A 24,706-nucleotide genomic window follows, 5' to 3' on the forward strand; every position below is an offset into this window, starting at 1 on the left:
ACATAGAGAACTTCTAGATGACAGCAGAATCCACTGCACCTTATTTAAACCAGCTGCTGGCCTCAGCACACAGCTTAAGAGAGTACATCCATACTCAGTTACTAAAATCATTCTAAAAAGCAGAATACAATATTGTATTTATGATATGCAACTAATTTAAATATATATACACATATATGTTTACATATACACATACTTTTTAAAACTGGAAGAGAATATACAAAATATTACTGTTTTGTTAGGTTTATGAGTTGGTTTTAATTTTCTTGTAGCTTTTTATATTTCCTCATTTTTTTCTAATGCACACATAATCACTTTAATAAACTGAAAAAATATTTTTAATGATGCTGTGAAATAATATATTCATGTCTTCCAATTGTATAGCAATTTTACACACAGTATTTCATTTTTTTACCTGTAAAATTGGGATAACAATAATGCTTCATAAGAAAAATGCAATAATACATGTAAAATGCCAGGAATAGTGCCTGGTAGATGATGGAAACTCATTAAATACATACTATTGTTATTATTTCACATTAACTCCCTGACAGCATTAGAAAGGAATTACTGTCCGTATTTTATAGACAACCAAGGCTAAGAGAAGTTCAGTGATTTGCTCAAGATCATGCCACTTGCCAAGACCAGTGTTCCTTTCAGTTACACCATCAATGTTCTTCATCCATGGTACAGATTATTTTAAAAAGTTATATTCCTAATTTCCTACCTAAAATTAGAATTTTGTTGAGATAGAGTTTTTTAATTTAAATAACCATAATATAATGTATTTCTTTTCCATTGTTGAAATTGAAATATAATTCACATACCATAAACTTCACACTTTTAAAGTATACCATTTAATGACTTTTTAGTATACTAATGAGGATGCACCACCATCAGTATTATCCAATTTTAGAACATTTTCACCACTCCAAAAGGGGCCATGACTGGCTCCCTCAAGCCCCTGGTGATCACTGATCTATTTTCTGTTTCTGTGGTTTACCTCTTCTAGACATTTCCTATAAATTGAATCATACAATATATGGCTCTCTGTGACTGCTCTTACTTAGCATAATGTTTTAAAACCTCATTCATGTTGTAGCATGTATCCATACTTCAGTCCTTTTTATGGCTAAATAATATTCCATTGTATGGATATACCACATTTTATTTAGCTATTCATCATTTATATGCTAAATTTATAGGGATAGCAATTTGACAGTTAATAAACAAACCAGTATATGAATCAGCAAAACGCAGTAAACCAGTAAAATAACTAAATAAAATGGCAATCAAAAAACAAATCAGTAAAATTCAGCTTGTCTCATCCATCCAGGATTTTTTAACTTTTTATTTGCAACAGTGCCTGAAAACTCTAAACACTGTTCACCTTAAATAATAAAGCATCAGACATACTTCTATTAAAAATTAGAAATATACATTTTTCACCTTACCTTGGAATGATTTTTTGTTTGCTTTCTGTTAACTTACCAGAGACCAAAATATTCCAATTCTTTCCAGAATCTTTTGTGCCTCAACTCATCTGCAAGTCTTTTAGCCTAGAGTCCCTCAACTATAAACTATAAAATATGTGCATCTCTGATACAGATAAGGTGTCAATAGGAAGCCTGGTTTTCCCTTCCCTGGGGCTTTGAGATCCATGCTTACTTTTTTCTATAGATAGATTTTTAAATAGATGACCACTGGGATCCTGTCCAACTCCAGGAGTCTATGATTCCACTTTTTTGTTTGTGTTTGTAGTCATCACCACCCTCATTCCAATTCTATTCAAGTCAGAGAATTTAGATGCGACTAAACTTCTTGTGGCAGAAGGAAATGTAACAAAAGGACAGTGATATCAGGTGCGTCCTATTACAGCAACCCCAAAGATTTATATATCACTTCCCAATTTACAAAGCACATTCCCCATGCTATTTCTCATACAGTGCCCCATGGTAGCCCCTTGAGTAGGTCAGGCATTTTATCAAGCAGAAACTGAAATGTGGGAACTGGTCCAAGTTCACGGACAAATGACAGATCTGGGGCTCCTGCCTCCCAATGCCTGTTCATTTCATTGTCTCACTAAGCACCCATTCCAAGGGCACTGGGGCTGTGGAGAGTGAGCCGCTGAAAGGCAAGCATTGATGACCAGCAGGCACTTACAGTGTTCACAAGACTGACTTTACTGACCTGCCTGTGCCAAATGGGAATAAAGAGGAGAGACTCAGAAGTAAAGCAACAGTCAGAGGAGTAAGCAAAACAATGTCCAAGTGCAGCCAAAGCCAATGCCTCCTGGACTACTTGGAAAAGAATACTCTGCACTACAAGCCCCTCACTTACTGAAAGCTTCCAAGAAATGAGGGCTTTCAAACTGCCTATGGAAAGTCATTTAGAGTTGGCATTGTCCATTCAATTTCAGAAGTTTCCACCAGAACATTGCTTGGTGACATAGTGGTCTTCACCCTGAGCGTCTACAAATGTATGTTAAGTTGCTATTAAGGACCTGTGGACAGAGAAGGCACACCACCACAGGTAAGCCATATGTAAAAGAAGCAAACTTCCTTCCTCACATTTCAATCTATTTCAACATTCATCAGGTCCTTCAAAATTTTTGCCAGACTCCAAACCCACTTTTCTAACACCATTCCTTCATATACATCAGCTATGCACATACCAAGTGTTTGCATGTAATACTTCATTGCATCCCCCCTGTGAAGCAGGCATTATTCTCCCCATTTTACAGATAGGCAAACTGGGCCCAGAAACAGATAATTTGCCCAAGCTACTTGTAGATAGAGCTGCCATTTAAACTCAGGTCTCTGCTGTTCCAAACCTATTTTCTTTCTGCTAAATTGCAATACCTCTAACTTGTTAGAATTTTACATAAAACCTTGAAATTCTAAAATATATATATATAAACTTTTTCAAAATTAAAAGCTTTTGCTGTTCAGAAAAAAAATCCTGTTTAGAAAGGCAAGCCAGATTGCAATAATAGATATGCAGTTGAAATACATAAAACATCTTGAAGAAGTTTTTATTAGTATAAATTTGTGAGCATTCAAATTTCTACATATACTTACTATAAAGTCAATGAATAATGAAGCAGTCTTTTTTTTTTTTTTTTTTTTTTTTGAGACAGTCTCGCTCTGTCGCCCAGGCTGGAGTACAGTGGCGCGATCTCGGCTCACTGCAAGCTCCGACTCCGGGGTTCGCGCCATTCTCCTGCCTCAGCCTCCCGAGTAGCTGGGACTACAGGCACCCACCACCACACCCAGCTAATTTTTTGTATTTTTAATAGAGACGGGGTTTCACCGTGTTAGCCAGGATGGTCTCGATCTCCTGACTTCGTGATCCGCCCACCTCAGCCTCCCAAAGCGCTGGGATTACAGGCGTGAGCCACCATGCCGGGCCATGAAGCAGTCTTGATAAACACAGTTGCAACAGACGTATTAACTCCTGCTTCCAACTGATTGCTGTATTTTGTTTAGATTGCATAGAATTGAGACTATCATAATTCACATATATTAACAGATGCAAACAGTAATAGTTTTCTAAAAGCAGTTTGTGATGTCCAGCCACACCTTGATAAAACAGATGACAAAAAAAAAGCTTTATTCTGTTTGCACTAAAAACCTAGTTTACCTGCTTGCACAAGTTGACATGTTAATTATCCACAGTGTGTTAAAAATTGGTATGTGTCACGTTTTAGTGTGCATGTTGTATTTTTTAACTTTTAAGTTGGGGTACATGTGCAGGTTTTTTACATAGGTAAACTCATGTCATGGGAGTTTGTTGTACAGATTATTTTATCACCCAGGTATTAAGCCTAATACACAGTTTTTTTTTTTCTGCTCCTCACCTCCTCCCAGCCTCCACCCTCAAGTAGGCCTCAGTGTCTCTTGTTCCCCTCTTTGTGCCCATGAGTTCTCAATCACTTAGCTACCACTTATAAGTAAGAAAATGCAGTATTTCGTTTTCTGTTCTTGCATTAATTTGCTAAGGATAACGGCCTCCAGTTCCATCCATGTTCCCACAAAAGACATGATCTCATTCTTTTTTATGGCTGCATAGTATTCTATGGTATATATGTGCCACATTCTTCATCCAATCTGTCACTGATGGGCATTTAGTTTGATTCCATGTCTTTGCTATTCTGAATAGTGCTGCAATGAACATTCACATGCATGTGTCTTTATGGTAGAATGATTTACATTCCTCTGGGTATAAACTCAGTAATGGGATTGCTAGGTCAAAAGGTAGTTCTCCTTTTAGCTCTTTCAGGAATTGCCACATTGCTTTTTCCACAATGGTTGAACTAATTTATACTCCCACCAACAGTGTATAAGTGTTCCCTTTTCTCCACAACCTCACCAGCATCTGTTATTCTTTGACTTTTTAATCATAGCCATTCTGATTGGCATGAGATGGTATTTAATTGTGGCTTTGATTTGCATTTATCTAACAATCAGTAATATTGAGCTTTTAAAAATACGGAATGCTTCACGAATTCCATGTCATTCTTGCACAGGGGACATGCTAATCTTCTCTGTATTATTCCAATTTTAGTATATGTGCTGCTGAAGCAAGCACACGTGTTTATAATTTTAGTAGTCATTTAAAATATATTTAATTTTTTAAATAAATTCTTCCTAAATTGATTTGTAAATTCAATGCAATCTCAATCAAAATCCTAGCAGGTTTCTTTGAAGAAATTGAAAAGCAGATGCTAAAATGTATATGGAAATGGAAAGGACCTAGAATAGCCAAAATAATTAGAAAAAGAATAATAAAGGATTTATTATCCTACTTGATTCTAAGACTTACAAGAAAGCTACGATCGTCAAGACAGTGCGGCACTGAGGCAAGGATAGACCTATAGATTCATGGAACAGAATAGAGAGTCCAGAAATAAATCCAAAGTTATATGGTTGATTTTTGACAAAGATGTGAACATAACTAAATTGGAAAATCAGCAAAATAGTGCTGCAACAACTAAATATCTAGAGGGGAAAAAAACAACCTTACAACATATTTTAAAAGCTAACACAAAATACATCATAGGCCTAAACAGTAAGAGCTAACACTATTACATTTCTGGAAGAAAATATAAGAGAAAATATTTGTAACAACAGTTAGGAAAGGCATTTTTAAACAGGACACCAAAAGTACAACTCATAAGGAAAAATATTTATAAACATTTTCAAAAGTAAAAGCTTTTGCTCTTCAGAAAAAAGTGTTAAAAAAGGCAAGCCGGACTGAAATAATAGATATGAAAAACATATCTGACAAAAAGGCTTGTATCCAGAATATATAAAAGATATTTACAACTTAAGAAGGCAAGAGCCCAATAAAATGGGGAAAAGATTTGAAGAGACTCTTTACAAAAGAAGTTATACAAATTCCAATAAGCACATGAAAAGATGATCTACATCACAAATTATGAGGGAAATGTCAATTAGAACCATAATGAGCTACTTACTACGCACTTGAGAATATCAAGGATGGGTGAAGAGGTAGGACAACTTGAACTCTCATACATTGACTGTGTGACAGTATAAAATGGTACTATTTCTTATATAGTTAAACATATACAAGCCATGTGACCCAGCAATCTTTATCCTAGATATTTACCCAAGAGAGATAAAAATGTGTCCACGCAAAACTTTTACATCAATGTTTATAGCAGCATTATTCATAATCGTCAAAACTGAAAGCAACCCAAGTATCTATTAACCAGTGAATGGATAAACAAATTGTGGTATATCCAATGGAGTATTACTATAAAAGCAACAAAATATTAGTACTCTCGACAACATAGGTGAATCTCAAAAATATTATGCTAAGTGAAAAAAGGTAAACACAAAGGGCTACATACTATGATTCTGTCTGTATGAAATTCTAGGAAAGGCAAAACCATAGCAACAAAAAGCAGATCAGTAGTTGGTTGGCTGGGGCCAAGAGCTGGGGGAATATATTGACTGTAGGAGCACAAGGGAACTTCTAGGGTGATGGAAATGTTCTAATTTGATCATGGTGGGGAATGGATTTTTTAAATATACTAGGGATTTGTTTTTCTTTTTAAGGGATTTCTTTTGGAAAAAAAAAAAGTCCTAGAATAAGAACAGAAGCATGTTCTCTTCTGAGAAATAATCCTTAGAAAATAGAAGTTAAGCCAAAATATGTAACATTACCTATGTCTTTTAAAACTTTTCTTGTCCATCTAATTTCCATCTTAAGAAAAATTAGAAATAAATCAATTACACTTTAAATACTTTTGGTACAGTTGAATATGTACAGGACTGCTGAATATTGAATAGGTTCCCAGAGAAACTCTTTGTAACAGAACTTTCCATTTGACCATAGCCCTTAAGGCATTTAAAGACAAGTGAGAAACAGACTGTTTTGGTTCGTTGGTTTGGGTTTTTTTTTCTTTTTTTTTTCATTACTTAGCTTTGTCATCATGCTTTCCTACCACCAGAAGGCATATTTATGACTCATCAGTCAACACCCAGTGTCAGATAACTAGCCATTAACATACTTCACTTGTACTGTGATGAAAATGATATCACAACTTTCAAGAGATCCCCTTGAAGATGAAACTGAAAGAAATGGTGGCCACATGTTGTTTCAAACCTGTATTCGTTACACCTCCTGACTGCATGTCGTGCAAAAGGGCCAAACAGATGTGTAAAAAATAGCTGTTTAACAGGGGGGAAAATACTGTAAAATTGTTTATGGCAGGACAGCGGGTTCTTATAGGCAAAGTAAATTACAAATAGATTTCTCAATTACTTTTTAAAGCCTAGTATTTGATTCTTATATAACAGTCAAAAATCAATTTTGCATGGAATTTATGTGAATGCCTCATTATTAATAAAACAGCGGTTGGCGGCTGCTACTTCCTCCCCACAACAGCAGCACGCAGTGGGGAAGCATTCACGTGCCAGGCTGTGCAATTCTTTATCTTTTTATCCTCTGGTTCAGCATCATAAAAAAGAAAGGGAAGAGATGAATCCCAAGCAAATTTTAGGCATGGGCTTCTGGCAGCACCTATTTCATGGGGGCCTGCTGGTGCCCTGAGAGTACTTGGTGATGGGTGCTGAGGGAAGTCCTCACCCTACTCCCTGCTCATACTGTACCTCGAAGGTCTTTTTTAAAAAAAAAAAAAGTATAATTAAGCAAGTAACTCTAGTTGTTGAAAAAGTCACTGAGCTCTTTCTCTCGCTCTATCCTTAGCATATCCAACCTCGGTACTAGAGTCTACTGACCCTGTGAATTGATTTAAAAGGACTGGCCAGTGGCAATTTTCCCCAGATTGCTTTATTTCTCCAAAATAAAATTATTTATTTTGAAAAGAACTTGCTCCTGACCCAAACATTCTAATAACATAACAAGCATAATTCTCATTCAACAAACAAGAAAATTGAATCCCACTTATGTCTACAGACCATAACAGTCTGCTCCCTACACTGTACTTGATTCATCAAACCATGAACACTCCCCGTTTCCCAAATGAAAAGTGTAGTGTGGTGAGAAAAACCTAGCTTCTCTGGTTAGCCCTCCCTAACCAATTGGATGACTTTAAACAGTTATATCACTGTTTTAGGCCATGTCTGTTAACTGGTAAAATAAGAGAGTTTTCAAAATTATCTGAGGTTTCCTTCAGCTAAGATTTGGCAATGAGAAGAAATCATTGTATTCCCATTACATGTGAAAAGCAAAAAGAAAATTCTATGTTTGGCCAACAACATGGAGAAATGCTTATCTTCAGAGGTTAAATTCAGCTAAACAGTAGCTACCTGCTATTTCTTCTATTGGGTGCATGCCTCAAAAACGCTAACGGGGGAAATGGCAGGGCGATACACTGAGTGCTTACAGCATGTTTCCAGAAACTGATTTATTCTTGATTTGAATCTCTACTATGTGCATAATTACACCTGGTAACTGCAGGCAAGCTGTGGGCAACACTCTTGCCCCCTTAGTATTTGTGTCAGCAGTTAATTAGGAATGCAGTGCTAATACAGTCTTTAAACCAACCCCAAAAAGCTGTAGTAAAATCTAGTTTAACAAACAGACATGCATATCAGATGACTCCTTGCAGATACAGAATACCAAGAGTTTATTTACCAATGAAAATCCATGGTAGGTAAGATCTGATCCATGGGTTTGTTTGCTTTTGGGTTTTTGGAGACAGATTCTCGCTCTGTTGCCCAGGTTGGAGTATAGTGACGTGATCTCGGCTCACTGCAACCTCTGCCTCCCGGGTTCAAGCAATTCTCCTGCTTCAGCCTCCTGAGTAACTGGGACTACAGACGTGCACTACCATGCCTGGCTAATTTTTGTATTTTTAGTAGAGACAGGGTTTTGCCATGTTGGCCAGGCTGGTCTCGAACTCCTGACCTCAAGTGATCCACCTGCCAAAGTGCTGGGATTCCAGGTGTGAGCCACCACACCCAGCCCCCACAGGTTTGTTTTTAAGAATTGGATTTGATATACTATTGAGAAACAAAGTGGCTTAAATATATCAATTTATTCAGAGTTTTTAAAAACAATGACTTTTTCTTTTATTCTTCTGCTAATTATTTACATGATTAATCTGACTTAACATATCTTCATTGAGAATCACACAGTTGATCCAACTAAAATTAGTATTATTTTAGGGACAAGAATGAAGGATACATTTTTTTTCCTGTTAAGTCAAATTCACATTTGGGTTTTGTTGTGCATATACTGTTAATAATGCAAAGAGAAACTTGTTCACTATGGTTGATTGCATAACAGGCCCCCATCCTGTACCCCTACCTATAGCCACGCCCTTTGCCCTATGACTTTGCAGTTGCTTTCACTACAGAGGCAAATCTGTTTTCCATCTGGGCTTGGACACATGACTTGCTTGGGCCAATAGAATGAGATGGATCGGACAGATGTTCCAGCTCCAGGCCCAGGCCTTGAGGTCCCGCTTTCTGCTTGTTCTCTCCTATTTCTGCCATTACCATGAAGAGGACACGCCTGTGTTACCGGTGGTCACAGGGAAAGGAGGACAGACGTGTGGAACAAAGCAGTCACTCCACATAAGCCCAAACTAGGTGAACCAGCACTGAGACTCAAGAGGGAGCTTAGGCGATAAGATATAGAAGAAAACCCGTCCTTGCAGATACAGAAGAAAACCCGTCTACTGTTACATGTCACTGAGATGCTGTGGCTGTTCACTATGTGCCAATTTTAGAGCAACAGGTTACTAGTATACTGACCTTTTCAAATACTACCTGATATTTATGATGATGCCGATGTTGCCAAATCTCTTCCAAAAAAGTGACCATCTGTCTTTTCCCATCTTTATTAACATGAGTGCCAGATTGATTCCAAGTTACAGTTGTATTCTTTTGGGTGAACAATCTTCCTCATGTTCTCTCAGGGTTTTAGGTGAGAAGTTGTCCAATTTTGGTGTGCCCAGAATCACCTAGAGGGCTTCTTAAAACACACATTGCTGGGCCCCACCTCCAGGAGTTCCTGATTCAATTCATCTGGGATCAGCCTGGGCCTGAGAATGTGCAGTTCTCACACGTGCCTGGGTGGTGCTGATGCTGCTTCTAGGACCACGTTGTGAGAACCACTCGCTTATTAGGCCAGGAAGGGTTAAGCACAACGTCGTCGGTTCACATACCCATCTGTGTTTTCCCAAGGCACATTTTCCATCACCTTCTCCAGCTGACCAATAAATGAGTGGGGCCAGAGCCAAGATTCCACAGCCTTCCAGATGAGTTCCCTCTGGAAGAGGCAGTCTCTGCTGCAAACGGCAGAGTTACCAATCCACACAGCAGGGATTCAGCATCACCTTTTGCCCTGAACTTACAGTTATCCCAATAGTTTGGGAAACTTCCTGGCTTGCACCCAAGATAACCTGATTGAGGAGGTTAAAAGAAAGTTCACAGTTCTTCTCAGTGTCCACCTGAAAGCATTTGTTCTTAAATTCTTCATCTTAGGATTCATGGGTTTTACTGTCAGGGAAAAATCTTCACCCCATCTATTTAAATGTGTGCAATCAATTTCCCTCTCAAATCCCCACGGCAGGTATTCTGATTTCTTCCCACTTGCTGTGCAGTGATCCCCCACTGGGAAAGCAGAACAGCTTTTGCTCATGGTGAAGCTCAACGCCGCCTGGTTTTTTTGTTTTTGTTTTGTTTTTGTTTTTGTTTTTCAATGATTTAAGTTAAATTTGAACTCAGACACTTGCACATGGCTCCTCAGTATCAGCCAGAGTTGGCGGGAAACTGGGTCCTCTGAGCAATCTTTATGTTCAGTGCTGCCTCAGAAAATTACACCAAATTAAAAAGCTGCCCCTTGAAATTTAACGTTTTTAAGATGCAATAGGGAAATAGTAAGCAATTATAATGAACTGGCCAGCCTGCTTTACCTTTCACATCCTCTTTTTTTTTTCCTTTTTTTCTTTTTAATAAAGCATGGTTTTCATCTGCTAACTGCTTCACTATTCTAACTCAATGGTTGTGCTTTGAAGAAGGGCAGGGTTGCCCTAGAGGTGTGTAAGCACTTGCCCAGGGGCCTGGGGAATGTCTGGCACTTTTCTGCTCATAGTATGGGGTAGTGGGAATATTTCCAATCTGTTTTATGGAAGTAGTTTCACTCTATTTTGAGAATCTTTTTATTTTGCAAAGAATTTTCATAAGAAACTCAATGCTCAATTACTATCAAGCACTATTTTGCCTATAATCAGGTTGTACACTATTTGACATGTTTAAAGTGTTGTTTTCATGCAATAGATATGTATCAAGCATGTACTATGGGTAGGCATTGTGCCAGGCAATTTGGATACAAAGAGGAAAATATCCTCTCTTTGTTTTCAAAGTGCTTATAACTATTTTGATGAAACAGACACCAAAATGAATACTCATTCCTGCCTTCATTCAACACACACTGTGCCTATTATGTTCTAGGTACAGTGCTTACTGTACAGTATAGCACAAACAATAAAAAGGGTAGACTTGGTTCCTGCTCAATGTGTAATCTTGTAAGAAAGTCAGACAGCTACCCCCAAAAACTGTGATAAATGTTACGTCGTCAGACAAACATGTGGCAAGAGCATGAGGCAGGAGATCTTGTCTATGAAGTATGGAGATAGCTTTAGGAAGAAGTAACAAATTAAAACGTGAAAATACAAAACAGGAAGCTGAGAAAGGAGGAAGGAAGAAGAAAAAGCTCTATAAGGGCTCAAAGGTTGGAGAGGATTGATACTGAATTGAATAAAAAATTGAGAAAACTTCAGTTTGATGAGAAAGCATGAAGGAGGGATCTATAAGAGATGAGAATGAAAAGACAGGAGCGGGGCATATTTAGGGGTTTGGACTTAACCCTAATGGTGATGTGCAGTCATTTAAAGGTTTCACCCAGAAGAGTGACATGAGGTTTGGGTTTAAGTGCAATAGTTTAGGGTACAAGTTAATACTACAGTCACTCCTCATTATTTGCAGATTCCATATTTGCAAAGTTTCCTACTCACTAACATTTACTTGTTACCCCCAAATCAACACTCATGGCACTTTCAAGATCTTTTGACAAAAAGTTTAAGTTGCCCAGAAAGCACCTTTTCAGTTGAAATTGAACAAGGTAACAGTCTGCCTTTGTGTCTCCAGTCTCATACTGTAAAGTGTTCTTTTTGTGGTCTGTTTAGTATCACATTTCTTCACATTTTTGTGCTTTGTATTGGTGATTTCACTCTTTAAATGACCCCTAAACACAGTGCTAAAGTGCTGTCTAATGTTCACAAGAGCAACAAGGCTGTGATGTGCCTTATAAAGAAAGTTCATGTGTCAGATAAGTTTCTTTCAGGCATGAGTTATGGTGCCGTTGGCCATGAGTGCAGTGTTCATGAATCAACAATATATATTAAATAAGACATCTTTAAGGAAGCACACATTAAATAAGCATATATATTGATCAGTTGAAAATGTTGACCAGAGGCTTGCACAAACCCAACCACATTTTTTTTCATAATTCAGTATTAGCTAATTCAGTGTTTGCAGATACTTTATAGAACATAACTACATGAATAACAAGAATTGGCTATATATTGGATAGGGGCTAGACTGGAGACAGAGGCATAAGTTAGAGAGAATTCTCAGGCATTCAATTGAGAGATGATGGTGACTTTGACTAAAGTCTTGGCAGTGGAGATAAAGAGAAGTAATCAGATTCGAGAAGACTGGATAGGATTTGGTAGTTGATTGGATATGAAAGGTAATGGGTAATGGAGAGGGAAGAATCAAGGGTCATACTCCAGTTTCTAGTTTAGGCAATTAAGTGGATATTAGTAACACTGTGAGAAATAGAGAACCATGTAGGAGGTCCAAAGTTCAGTTTGGGGCATGTTAATTGATGAATATTAGAAAGGCATCCAAGTTTGAATGTCAAATTGGCTGTGTGATATGCATGTCTAGAGCTCAGAATAGAAGTCTAATAAAGGATACAGATTTGAAAGACTGGGAAGTAAAGGTCCACGTGGTGGGAAGAAATCCAGGAAAAGGAGCTCTCATCATAGAAACCAAAGGAAAGGCAGGTTAACAGTGTTATAGACACTGGGAGGTCTTAAAAGTAAGGACCAATAAGCATTCACTAAACTTAGCAACACAGAGGAAACTGATGACCTGGGTAAGAGCCATTTTGATGGAGTGATGGGAGCAGAAGTCAGAAGGAAGTGGGCTGGCAAGTAAGCCTACAATGTTAATGACATCCAAGGTATCACAGGAAACCTGCGGGGAGGTTCCAAATGCTATAGTGAGAAATTAGTCTCATTCAATTTAAGGAAAATTTAATAAATAAATAAATAAATCTCCACTGGGGACACAGTGGAAATTGGAAGGTAATAGAGAATATGGAAATAGAAAGTTGGGGAAGGAGAGGTCAAAGGGGGAGTGGGAAAACAGAAAAACATATCAAAAGAATAGATGTAAGAACAAAAGAAACAGGACGTCATAACTGAGAAAGCTGAGGCCCAGAAACAGATTTGACATGCATAAGGATACATGGTGAATTATGGACAAAACAAGATAGTATTCATTCAGATTCTGCTTAAAGAATTCTGTTGGAAAAAAGTTAAGTGTCCATGTGTTTCTCTTTTTCAAACACACACACACAATCAAAAGTGAAAACAAAAACGTACAAGTCTGTGGCTTAGTGTTTGTGTGTTTAAAAAGAAAAGAAAAAGAAAGAGCTGAAGCTAATCCTCAAACTATCAAACATCAGCATCTCCCACTATGCCCTGACTGTGTAAAAATGAATACCACCTTGCTGAGAAAGAAAAGGCAAAAGAAGTGACCAGTCCCCTGGGTGATCAGACCGAGGCCACATTGCCACCTGTACTCTATAAGAACACTGACACCCAGGTCCCATCTCATGGGAAAACCATTGTTCATTCATTCAGCAGGCATTTACCAGACATCTGTTCTGTGCCTGGTACTGCTCACATGCTCAGGATTCATCAGTGAAGAGAGGAGACAAAGAATCCTACTGTTAAGCAGTTTATATACCTGAGGGAGAGAAATAGACAATGAAAAAGAAATGTAACAAGTAATTTTACAGTATAGTAAAATAAGTGCAATGGGGAAAAGAAAAATGTAGGGCTAATATGAGAGGAAGACAGAGAATTTGGGAATTACCTGAGGAAGAAAGAGAAAGAAGAGAAGAAAAGGAGGTCCAGGGAAGGTGGAAACCCAGAAGCTGCTGCAGAACCTCCTTTACCTCCTCTTGAGGGGTCACAGTTAGATCAGCACCACATACACCTAAATTGTAACATCTGAGCAAGCCGCTCCCACAAATGGAAGAGTAGATGGAGTTAGAATCTGCAAAGATTTAAGGCCATTTGTTTTGTTACATCCTTTATACAGTATATCAACTCTCTTCAATGTTGTTGATTTTCTTTTATGGTGGACAATAGGTCTTCTAACTGGCAGTGGAGTCCTCTTTCTATTAAACCAGAAAACCAGACTACTATCTTAATACGAAATACATACTTTTCTATAGCGTTATCTTCTTTGAATTGTTTGCTGTAACTTTTAAGATATAAATACTTTTGTTTCCTTTTTATTTGTTGTTTTTATGACTAGTATTCATTAGACACTTTATTTCCTCCCTGACATACTCCTGTAATTTTAGGTAATTGCCACCAAATAGAAAACGGTTTCTGGACTGAGTGCTATGCAACAAATAAAACAAATACACATCTCAGCTTCCCATGAGCATGAATAAATGAGAAATCTAGAGGGCATACTTCTCTTGATTTTGATTTTCCCATAAACATTGAACTCTTTATTTAAAAAACAACTAAGCAAGGCATGAAACTCGTGTAGATGCCTGGAACATTAGGTTTCTACTCAACTTGGTCTTGATTCTCCTCTTGGTAAGAGCAGGAATAACTGAGCAGGGACTTGTAGTTTCATGTCTAAATCTTCCTGGCATGTACACACAATGAAGCCTTAGACTTTGTTGCAGCTCAACGATCCTTTCAGGCAGCTTCACTTGATCTGCAGACCCTGCTTGCTTGGCAGTACTTAACCAAGGAACAGAGATACCTCATTCCTTCCAGATCCTCTGCTCCTTAATATTCCCAGCCCATCCATCTGTATCAGGAGCTGAAAAGCCCCACAGTGCATCTAGATTTTATGAAAACTCCTGATTGTATTTTTCCAAACAGCAATTTCCCTGACTCTGGCTTCTAATTCTGAATTTTTCTCTATTTGAGAAACATTCCAGTTCCCCATTCCTTTTTCTGATCAATAGCTGGCCTCTACCCACAATTGATTCCTTCTCCAATTAGCTCTAAATCATAGTATCAGATAGAAACTGCTTTCTGTTCAAAGGCTTAGTGTTAGAAAAATAATCACAACAATACTGAAACACATATGTGACTTGCTTTTTGTTTATGTAATAAATTTGACTGAATTTTTTCTATGGATCAGTGCTCCTCAATTTTTAAATATTCCCATACTTACGCGTGAGTACATCAGAACATATTTACACCAGTCTTGGGATTAGAGGTAATGAGCCTCATTTCTCCAAAAACAACAGACTTCCTCTACCTCCTACTCACAGACAAATTTCCCTAGTCTGAGTTTGAAACTAAGGGCACATTGGTTTCTGGAAAGGTGTAACCTGCTGTGTTTGAACCAGTAATTAGGACAATGCTTATACAGAAATTCTGAATGTTTCTAGACATTCTAGAGCCTTGCAACTCAAAGTGTGGTCCTTGATCATCTGTATCATGTGAGAGCTTCTCAGAAATGCAGGCTGCACTGCAGACCTACTAAATAGGAAGTTGCTTTTTAACAATATTATCGAGTGATTCACATGCACATTAAAGTTTGAGAAAAAAAAATAAACTTGAGATGATGTTTGGGTTCCAGGATTTTTCTTCCCAGGCAAAAGCATAGTGTGAGAGAAAAATATGAAAACATTTCCACCTCTGGCATTATTTTTGACAGGCCTTCTCTTCTTTAATACAGCTACCATTGCAGTCTTTCACCAAATTCACAACTCCAACAATCAGCAACAAACATCCCAGAGGCTGGAAGATGTTGCAGCCCTCTTGCAATAGAACCCTCCTCGGCTTCTTCTCCCAGTGCTTTAGCTACAACTGTCCACCACAAAGCTCATTTCTAAATTTTATGTTGTCATTCCCTCCCCCTTTTTCTGAATCCTGCATTTCTCCAGTGTTGAGAATGCCTGGAGACAAGATAATGTGGAACCAAAAGAGTAAAGACAATTACGTCTTCTTAACATTCCCCTTGCTTGTGAAGATGAGTGCTATCCAATAGAACATTCTGTGACGATGGAAATGTTCTGTATCTGCACTACTCAGTCTGAAAGCCAGTAGCCAGGCACACATGATTACTGGGCAATTAAAATTGCTAAGAGATAACTGAGGCACATTAAAATATTAAAGAGTTTATTTGAGCAAATAGCAGTTCATGAATCAGGCAGCACCAGACCACTAGAAGTTCAGGGCTTCGGAAAAGGGGCTTGAGGAGAAAATTTGTATAACGTGAATTCAGAAGCGAGGCAAAAAAGAAAAAGAAAAAAAATTGTGTTTGGCTAAAGTGGAGCAGTAACTTTATTTTAATCAACCTAGCAGAAATCCCTAGTTAGAAGTTAGTTGGTGGTTCCTCATTGATTAAATGTAAGTTTCATTTTCCTAGCACATGACCATTTACAGTGAGTTGGGTTTCAATTTGCTTAGGTAAGATCCCGGGGTGCTGGAGTTGCCTCAGTCTGATGAACTCCCAATTAATTATTTTAACAAAATGGAGCTAGTGTGACTGAGGAACTGAATTTTGTAAAATTCAATCGTTATTTAAATCTTTTTTATTTTTATTTATTTATTTTTTTTTTTTTGAGACAGGGTCTCATTCTGTCCCCCAGGCTGGAGTGCAGTGACACGGTCTCGGCTCATGGAAACCTCTGCCTCCTAGGTTCAAGCAATTCTCTGCCTCAGCCTCCGGAGTAGCTGGGATTACAGGCGCCCACCACCATGCCCGGCTAATTTTTGTATTTCTAGTAGAGATGGGGTTTCACCATCTTGGCCAGGCTGGTCTTACACTCCTGACCTCGTGATTCACCTGGCTTGGCCTCCCAAAGTGCTGGGATTACAGGCGTTAGCCACCATGCCTGGCCTAAATTTAAATATTAATTAAAGTAAATAAAATTTAAAATTTATTTCTTCAGTCACACCATCCACATTTCAAGTGCTTGATAGCCACATGTGGCTAGTGGCTACATTATTGGACAGTGCAGGTCTAGATCATTCTCGGGGTTTCTCATCTCCCTTTCTGTTGCTGCTCAGGTGATCATTATATCATCATTTAATGTCTCATCACAACAGCTTTAGTGACTATATATATATATGTATATGCAGGAGGGCAGAAATGCCTATATCCGGATACAAATGCTGTTTTATGATTACCTTCTCTAGTGTAGAAATCTCTTTAGAAACTGAAACTCAAAAGGAGTGTTGATTTTTTAATAATCACAAGTGCTCCAAAAATTCCCCCAAGAAAACGACCACCTTGTAGTAATCTCAATGCAGGTAAACTGCTTTGAGAGTCTTTCTTCAGAGATGCCAGAGGCATGGAAAGGATAGCAACATCTGCACACTTTACCATCAAACATCCAGACATATTAGAAAGAGAAATCAAATATTCTGATTGGCTAATATGTCTGAGCAGGGACAAATGGACCATAATTCTCTGTTCAGAATTTATGAAGATTCATCATCATTTAATTAACAATATAAATATTAAAAAAACATTTTATAATAAAATTTTATAATTGTAATAAGACACCCTAGTGCATGAATTATGGGGTACTAATTCCCACCCAGTTTTGTTGAAACTGGACATGAATGAATACATTAAAATGCATACTATGTCATGTCTTAGCAGTTAAAAAATAAAGTGGCAAAAAAGTGTTTCAAAATTCAAAGTCCTATTCCCTTAGAATATAAGCAAAGAAATTCAATGAAAATGTAATTTATTGAGTTTGAGTTCTTACTCATTTTTCCACTGGTAATTACATTACCCACACAAGAGACAGTTATTGAAGAGGTGCAAAAAATTAAACTATTATTTTACTCTAGATTTGTAAGCTTTCACTCTTTTGCAGAGAGGCCATGTTTTTCCCTCCTAAATCACCTTATAATTTAAGAATGCAATAATAATAAAATATTAACAGTCAGCAGAACACAGGGATCAGACTTTTCTGAAGGGCAGCTGTGAATCTTTCAGTATCACAATCATTTATTCATAATTATAATAAGTTACATTTATGGATATTTACAATGTGCCTGGCACTGTGCAGTGAAATTCACATATGTTACCTAAGTGAATATTTACAATCATTCATGAGGCTGATACTATCATTAGCCCATTTTATAGGTAAGAAAATTGAGGCTTACAGTCTTTCAGTGAGCTGTCCATGGCCTAAGAGCTAATAACCAGTAGACAAGATTCAAACTCAGGCAACCTAACCCCCAAATCCAGCTTACCCTACATGTAATGTAGCCAGTGAAATTAACCTCACTGACAAGATGAAAACAGAGTAATAAGAACTAAACCATCATCAGCAGGGTTTAAGCAGCAGCTGAGAGAACTTGGAGTGATAAGGTAATTCTCAGAGTCTAACAAGCCACTCAGGGCTGAATAGTAGATGCTCAGAGTGTAGTCTTAAGGTACAAGCAGAAGAATTCCCTTTTGGTGACATGACCAAGGAGGTCATATATCAGAAAAGTGCTTCTAAGATTGAAGAGTCAGAGAGCTAAGACACGAAGGTCATAAACTGCTTTAATGCACTCAGGAGGAAAAGAACAGGTCCTCAGAGGTCCAAGTAGGCAGTCAGCAAGTGAGGATCCAGTGAGTGAGAGCACAGAATGAACAGAAAACGAGCGAAGAGACTTGATCACACCGAGCCTGACATATAGGGAATCAGGGAACCTGAGATTGGGGACAGGTCCACACTGGGGGCCTAGGGCTTGAGGTGCCAGTAATCAGCCTATGATGGTCTACGGTGCTAAGGAGAGAACTCCTCAAGATGGGCTTCATGTATCCCTACCCATCCATCACCCTCCACTCCCAAACAGCAAGTCCCTTTCAGTCGTGGGACTTGTCCCTCCTTTATCCTGTGAGGTTGAGATAACTGGTGTGGAGAGAGGGGTAAAAAGGGAAACAAAGCAAACCATTACCTAAATAATCACTCTTAAGAAAGAGTAATCATGGGCTATTCTGCCATGGTTATACATACATGAGACTGATAAGGAACTGAGTATGAATAACAATTGCTATTCGTTATTGATGGCATCAGACTGCCACATGATTTAGTCTTGAGGTTGTCCAAGATATTCTTTAACAGAAAAAAATAAGCTGTATCTTTGCAAATCTTTGTTAAATACTCCTATACATTTCCTACTAAAGTCTTCTTTATAACCTCTAAATATGTCTCACTCGCAGGCATAAGACCCTCATCATTGATCCTGCAATTACTTGGGTTTTGTTATAGCAACAAAGCTTGCATTTATTAATAGGAAATTTTATTTCATTTCTGAAATGCCAAGTAGTTATTGATAGAATCTGCTCAATTTACATCCTGAACCCATATACACCTGTTAAAAAATCAATCAAGATTCATGCACATGTAAATAACTACTTATTAGTTTTATGATTTTCTGGTAGAACTGAGTTATTGTTTTCCTCTAACAAATCCTAGACTTTAGGACAACTTAATGAAGGATTTAAATAGATGTTGTGTCTAATCACTCACAAGTAGGGGCCAGGAGAATCTGGAGAATATTTTCTAGTTCAGTTAATGACTTAAAAATTAATAGGCAAAAAATTAATCGGCAAAGAATCCTCTGAATAAAAATAATAAAGTCACAGGATTTCATGACTGCAAATGTTTAGCTACTTCAAAGTTTCCAGCTTGAGATTAAGATTGTGGCTACATTGAGGAACATTTGGAGATTTGATGGGGAAAGTGAAACCTCCTGAGGGAAAAATGCATCTCAAGGATAAGAGACATGAGTTTAATGCAAGCACAAGTTTAATGCACAGTATCAGAGAGGAGAAAGGGTTGAACACCTGAGTTCTCAAAAATTCTAGGAGAAGTTCCAGAGCCAGGGCACAGGTGTGCAGCAACGCAGCAGGTGCAGGTGCACCTTGTTTTATTGCTTTCACTTTCTCATGCTTTGCAGATACTATATTTTCTACAAATTGAAGATTTGTGGCAAACCTGCATTGACCAAGTCTATCGGCACGATTTTACCAACAACATATGCTCACTTGGTGTCTCTTTGTCACATTTTGGTAATTCTTGCAATATTTCAAATATTTTCATTATTACTATGTTATGGTGATCTGTGCTAGATGATCATTCATGTTACTATTGTAGTTGTTTTGTACTACCATGAACCATGGAGCATGCTCCATATAAGATAGCAAAATTAATCAATAAATGTTGTATGTGTTCTGACTGCTCCACCCACAGGCTGTTCCCCCTTCTCTCACTCTCCTCAGGCCTCTCTGTTCCCTGAGACACAACAATATTGAAATTAGGATAATTAATAACCCTAAAATGACCTCTAAGAGTTTAAGTGAAAGGAAGAGTCACAAGTTTCTCTCTTTAAATCAAAAGCTAGAACCAATTAAGCTTAGTGAAGGAGGCATGTCAAAAGCCAAGAAAGGCTGAAAGCTAGGCCTCTTCTACCAGCCAGTTGGCCAGGTTGTGAACACAAAGGAAAAGTTCTTGAAGGAAACTAAAAGTGCTACTCCAGTGAACATACGAATGATAAGAGAGCCAAACAGCCTTGATATAGTTTGGATGTTTGTCCTCTCCAAATCTCACGTTAAAACGTGATTTCCAGTGTTGGAGGTGGGGCCTGGTAGGAGACGACTGGATCATGAGGGGTGGATCCCTCATGAATGGTTTAGCACCATCCCCTTGTAAGTGAGTTATTGCTCAGTTAGTTCACGTGGGATCTGGTTGTTTAAAAGTCTGGGACCCCGCCCCCCGCCTTCTCTCTCCCTTACTCCCACTCTCACCATGGGATATGCTGGCTCCACGTGGCTTCTGCTATGATTGGAAGCTTCCTGAGGCCCTCACCAGAAGCAGATGCTTGTGCCATGCTTGTACAGCCTGCAGAACCATGAGCCCATTAAACCCCTTTTCTTTATAAATTTCCCAGCCTCAGGTATTCCTTTATAGAAACACAAGAACGGCCTAACACAAAACTTATTGCTAATAGGGAGAAAGTTTTAGTGGTCTGAATAGAAGCTCAAACCAGCCACAACATTCCCTTAAGCCAATACCTAATCTGAGTAAGGCCTTAACTTTTTCAAATTCTATAAAGGCTAAGAGAGGTGAGGAACGTGCAGAAGAGAAATTTGAAGCTAGCAGAGGTTGGTTCGCAAGGTTAAGGGAAAGAAGCCATCTCCATAACATAAAAGTGCAAGGTGATGCAGCAAGTGCCAATGTAAAAGCTGCAGCAAGTTATCCAGAAGATCTAGCTAAGACCATTGGTGGAGGTAAATACACTAAACAACAGATTTTTACAAAACAGCCTTCTATTCAAAGAAGATGCCATCTAGGACTTTCATAGCTAGAGAGAAGAAGGCAATGCCTGGCTTCAAAACTTCAAAGGCCAAACTGTCTTGTTAGGGGTTAATGCAGCTGGTAACTTTAAGTTAAAACTAATCCTTGTTTACCATTCCAAAAATCCTATATTCCTTAAGAGTTATGCTAAATCTACTCTGCCTGTGCAATAAAAATGCAACAACAAAGCTCGGCTGACACCACATCTGTTTACAGCATGGTTTCCTGGATTTTTTAAGCCCTCTGTTGAGAACTACTGCTCAGGGAAAAAAAGCAAACAAACAAAAAAAGAAGACTGCTTTAAAAATATTACTACTTCTCATTGCCAAAGCACCTGGTCACCCAAGAGCTCTGATAGAGATATACAAGGAGATTCCTGTTGTTTTCATGCCTAGTAACACAACATCTATTCTGCAGCCCACAAATCAAGGAGTAATTTTGACTTTCAAGTCTGACTACTTAAGAAATATATTTTGTAAGGCTATAGCTGCCATAGATAGTGATTCCTCTGATGGGTCTGGCAAATTAAGTTGAAAACGCCATAGAAAGGATTCACCATTCTAGATGACATTAAGAACATTTGTAATTCGTGAAAGGCAGTTAAAATATCAACATTAATGAGAGTGTGGAAGAAGTTGATCCCAACCCTCATGGATGATGTTGAGGGGTTTTAGCCTACAGTAGAGGAGGTAACTGCAAATACCATAGAAATAGCAAAAAAACTGGAGTTAGAGGTGGAACTTGAAGGTGTCACTGAATTGCTACAATCTCATGATGAAACCTGAATGAAAAGTTGCTTCTTATGGATGAGCAAAGGAAATTATTTCTTGAGATGGAATCTACTCTGGGTAAGATGCTGTGAACATTGTTGAAAGGACAACAAAGGATATTTAGAATAGTTCATAAACATAGTTGATAAAGCAGCAACAGGGTCTGAGAGGACTGACTCCAATTTTAAAAGAAGTTCTACTGTGGATAAAATGCTATCAAACAGCATCACATGCTACAAAGGACTCTTTAATGAAATTAAGAGTCAATCAATGTGGCACCCTTCACTGTTGTCTTATTTTTAAAAATTGCCACAGTCTCCCCAGCTTTCAGCAACCACTACTTTATCACTCAGCAGTCATCAACTTCAAGGCAAGACCCTCCATCAGCACTCAAGGCTCAGATGACTGTTAGAAATTTTTAGCAATATAGTATTTTAAGTTATCTACATTTTTTTAGACACAATGCTATTGCACACTTAAGAGACTACAGGATAGTATAGACATCATTTTTATATGCACTGGGAAACCATAAAATGTGTATGACTCACTTTATTGCCATATTTGCTTTACTGCAGTGGTCTGGAACCAAACCCCTGATATTTCTATGATGTGCCTGTAGATTGAGGAGGCAGTAGCAGCACTGGGAGCTGGTCCTCTCAGCACCGACAGCAAGCCCCACAGCACCACTGTTGGGTTTTGGCATGATCAGCAACCAGGAATATTCCCACAACCATCCCAGCCAGGAGGGGAAATGGGGTCGTCACCCAGTGTGCAGAACATATAAAGACATCCCTTGGGAACCTCAAAATTGGAACGGAGATGGGCCAGAGAAATACATTTGTGACTACGTCTGTGACCTGAATTTTTCCTACCACAGTATGTGACTCCTCAGCTTCTGACTAATGGGGTACAGGGGATGCTACCACAAAATATGGCAGCTTGGCATACTGGGTTTTTTAACCTGAATTAAATTGAGAAAACTGTAGAGGCAAGAAAGTCACTCTACCTTCTCCTGCCTTTTTCCCATGGAACATGGCTGTAAAAGAATTTTCTGACCTACTTTGCCTGAAAATAAGTCCTAAGACCCTCATTCCAGAGGGGTCCTGCCCTATACCTGGAGACCAAGAAGAATCTGAACAAACAGGCCTTCCTAAATTCTCCACAGCTTATTACCATCACATCCTTTTGTCCTCCAATCACACTTCTGTACAAGTGACCATAAAAATACAGTTTTCCCTGGGCCTTTGGGTCTTCATTTCTAAAGGCTCCCATGTCATGTAAAACTTTGGTTAAATACATTTGTTTTGCCTTTGTCCTGTTAATCTGTCTTTTGTTGTAGGGTCTCAGCCAGAACCTAGTGATGGGTAAGGAAATGATCTGACTTTTTCTCCCCTATATGACCCAGGAGGAGAAGCATACAAGGTCACATATCAATGGTCTCAAGTTTGACTGGGATGGTAAGATTGGCCCAAAGACAAGTTAGATGAGGACTCCAGTGTCAGTCACATGATGAAACCCAAACATGGGCTCCTTCTTGAGACCCAGGCCCTCTTGCTGTAGTAATTGTGTGACTCTCGACTGTTAGCCACCACATGTCAAAAGACTGAACCTTGAATCAGTCTGATGAAATTCAGACCACTGAATCTAACCCTGCCACAAACTTGTCACTTAATTCAGAGCCTGAACAGAACCTGAGTAATGGTAACCCTCCACTTGTACCTCCGTGCATTGCCTTTGTTTTGTTCTCTGCATGGCCTATACCTGACAAAGACTGTCTGTGACCAAACAACTTGAATGAGGATCCTCTGGGTCCTTCATGATGAGGCCCATCTTTGGGCTTCCCTCTCTGTCCTTGAAGAATCCAGTTTGAGCAGGAACCCTGCTAAGTCAATTAGGCAAAGTCCCCCGTTCTTAGTGTCTGACCACTCTCAGTATCTGCCACCTAGACCTGCTTTCAGCAAGAGTCCTATCAAGTTGGTTTGATGTTTCCTCTTAGTGGTTTTCCATCCACGGACCCCCCACGCTGCTCTTTGGTTACAAATCCCCACTTGTCTTCCTGGCAGTTGAGCCCAATCTCTTTCCCACACTTCCAGACCCTGTTGCAGTGATCCCTGTATCCATCCCACGGCCTCTCCTTGAATAAAGACTGCCTGGCCATCTTTTAACAAGTATTATGAATATTTTTTTCTTAAACATACCTGAACATCCACTTAAATATTAATGAATAAATTACCAGTGAATGGATGGGGTCTATGTACAGAGTATTTTCTACCACCGTGATTCTATGTCATCATATCCTTAATAAGGCAAATGCTAGTATGCATGATGAAAATCAAAGAAAATTTAAAGCCAAGTAAAAACACTGCACAAAATTTACAGGCAGGCATTCTAAAATTTAGCACAAATGAAGCTCCACCCCCAACCCTAGTCTCCCTGTCATTTGACCCAACCTGTACATGCCCCCTTCCTTTCTGAGTATTAATATTACAATCCACTTCATCTCATTCATGAGTGAATTGTTGTTATAGTCTGAATCTGGTGTATCCCACAATTCAAATATTGTGACTTAATCCCAAATGTGGGAATAAGAGGTGGGCCTTTGGGGAAGTTAATAAGTCACGAGAGCTCTGCCCCCAATTACAGGATTAGTGCCCTTATAAAAGAGGTTGAAGGGAGCTGCCTTTCTGCTTTCACCCTTTCCACCATGTGAGGACACAGCAAGATGTGTCATTTATGAAGCAGAGAGGGAACTCTCACCCAACACCAGATCTGCTGGCACCTTGATCTTGGAC

At 38.7% G+C, this 24,706-nt stretch overlaps 1 pseudogene, besides 2 other annotated features; it reads right to left on the reverse strand.

Annotated features, from left to right (window-relative positions):
• Positions 4,485-4,590, reverse strand: RNU6-187P (RNA, U6 small nuclear 187, pseudogene; annotated as a pseudogene).
• Positions 6,400-6,699: an enhancer, noted in NCBI's record as "active region_16793". NCBI's record gives its function as "activates an Ori minimal core promoter by ATAC-STARR-seq in GM12878 lymphoblastoid cells {active_cell/tissue: GM12878}" and the evidence as "EXISTENCE:reporter gene assay evidence [ECO:0000049][PMID:35858748]".
• Positions 10,250-10,349: an enhancer, noted in NCBI's record as "active region_16794". NCBI's record gives its function as "activates an Ori minimal core promoter by ATAC-STARR-seq in GM12878 lymphoblastoid cells {active_cell/tissue: GM12878}" and the evidence as "EXISTENCE:reporter gene assay evidence [ECO:0000049][PMID:35858748]".

The sequence above is a fragment of the Homo sapiens genome, chromosome 2, assembly GCF_000001405.40.
Source record: "Homo sapiens chromosome 2, GRCh38.p14 Primary Assembly".
NCBI lineage: Eukaryota > Metazoa > Chordata > Mammalia > Primates > Hominidae > Homo > Homo sapiens.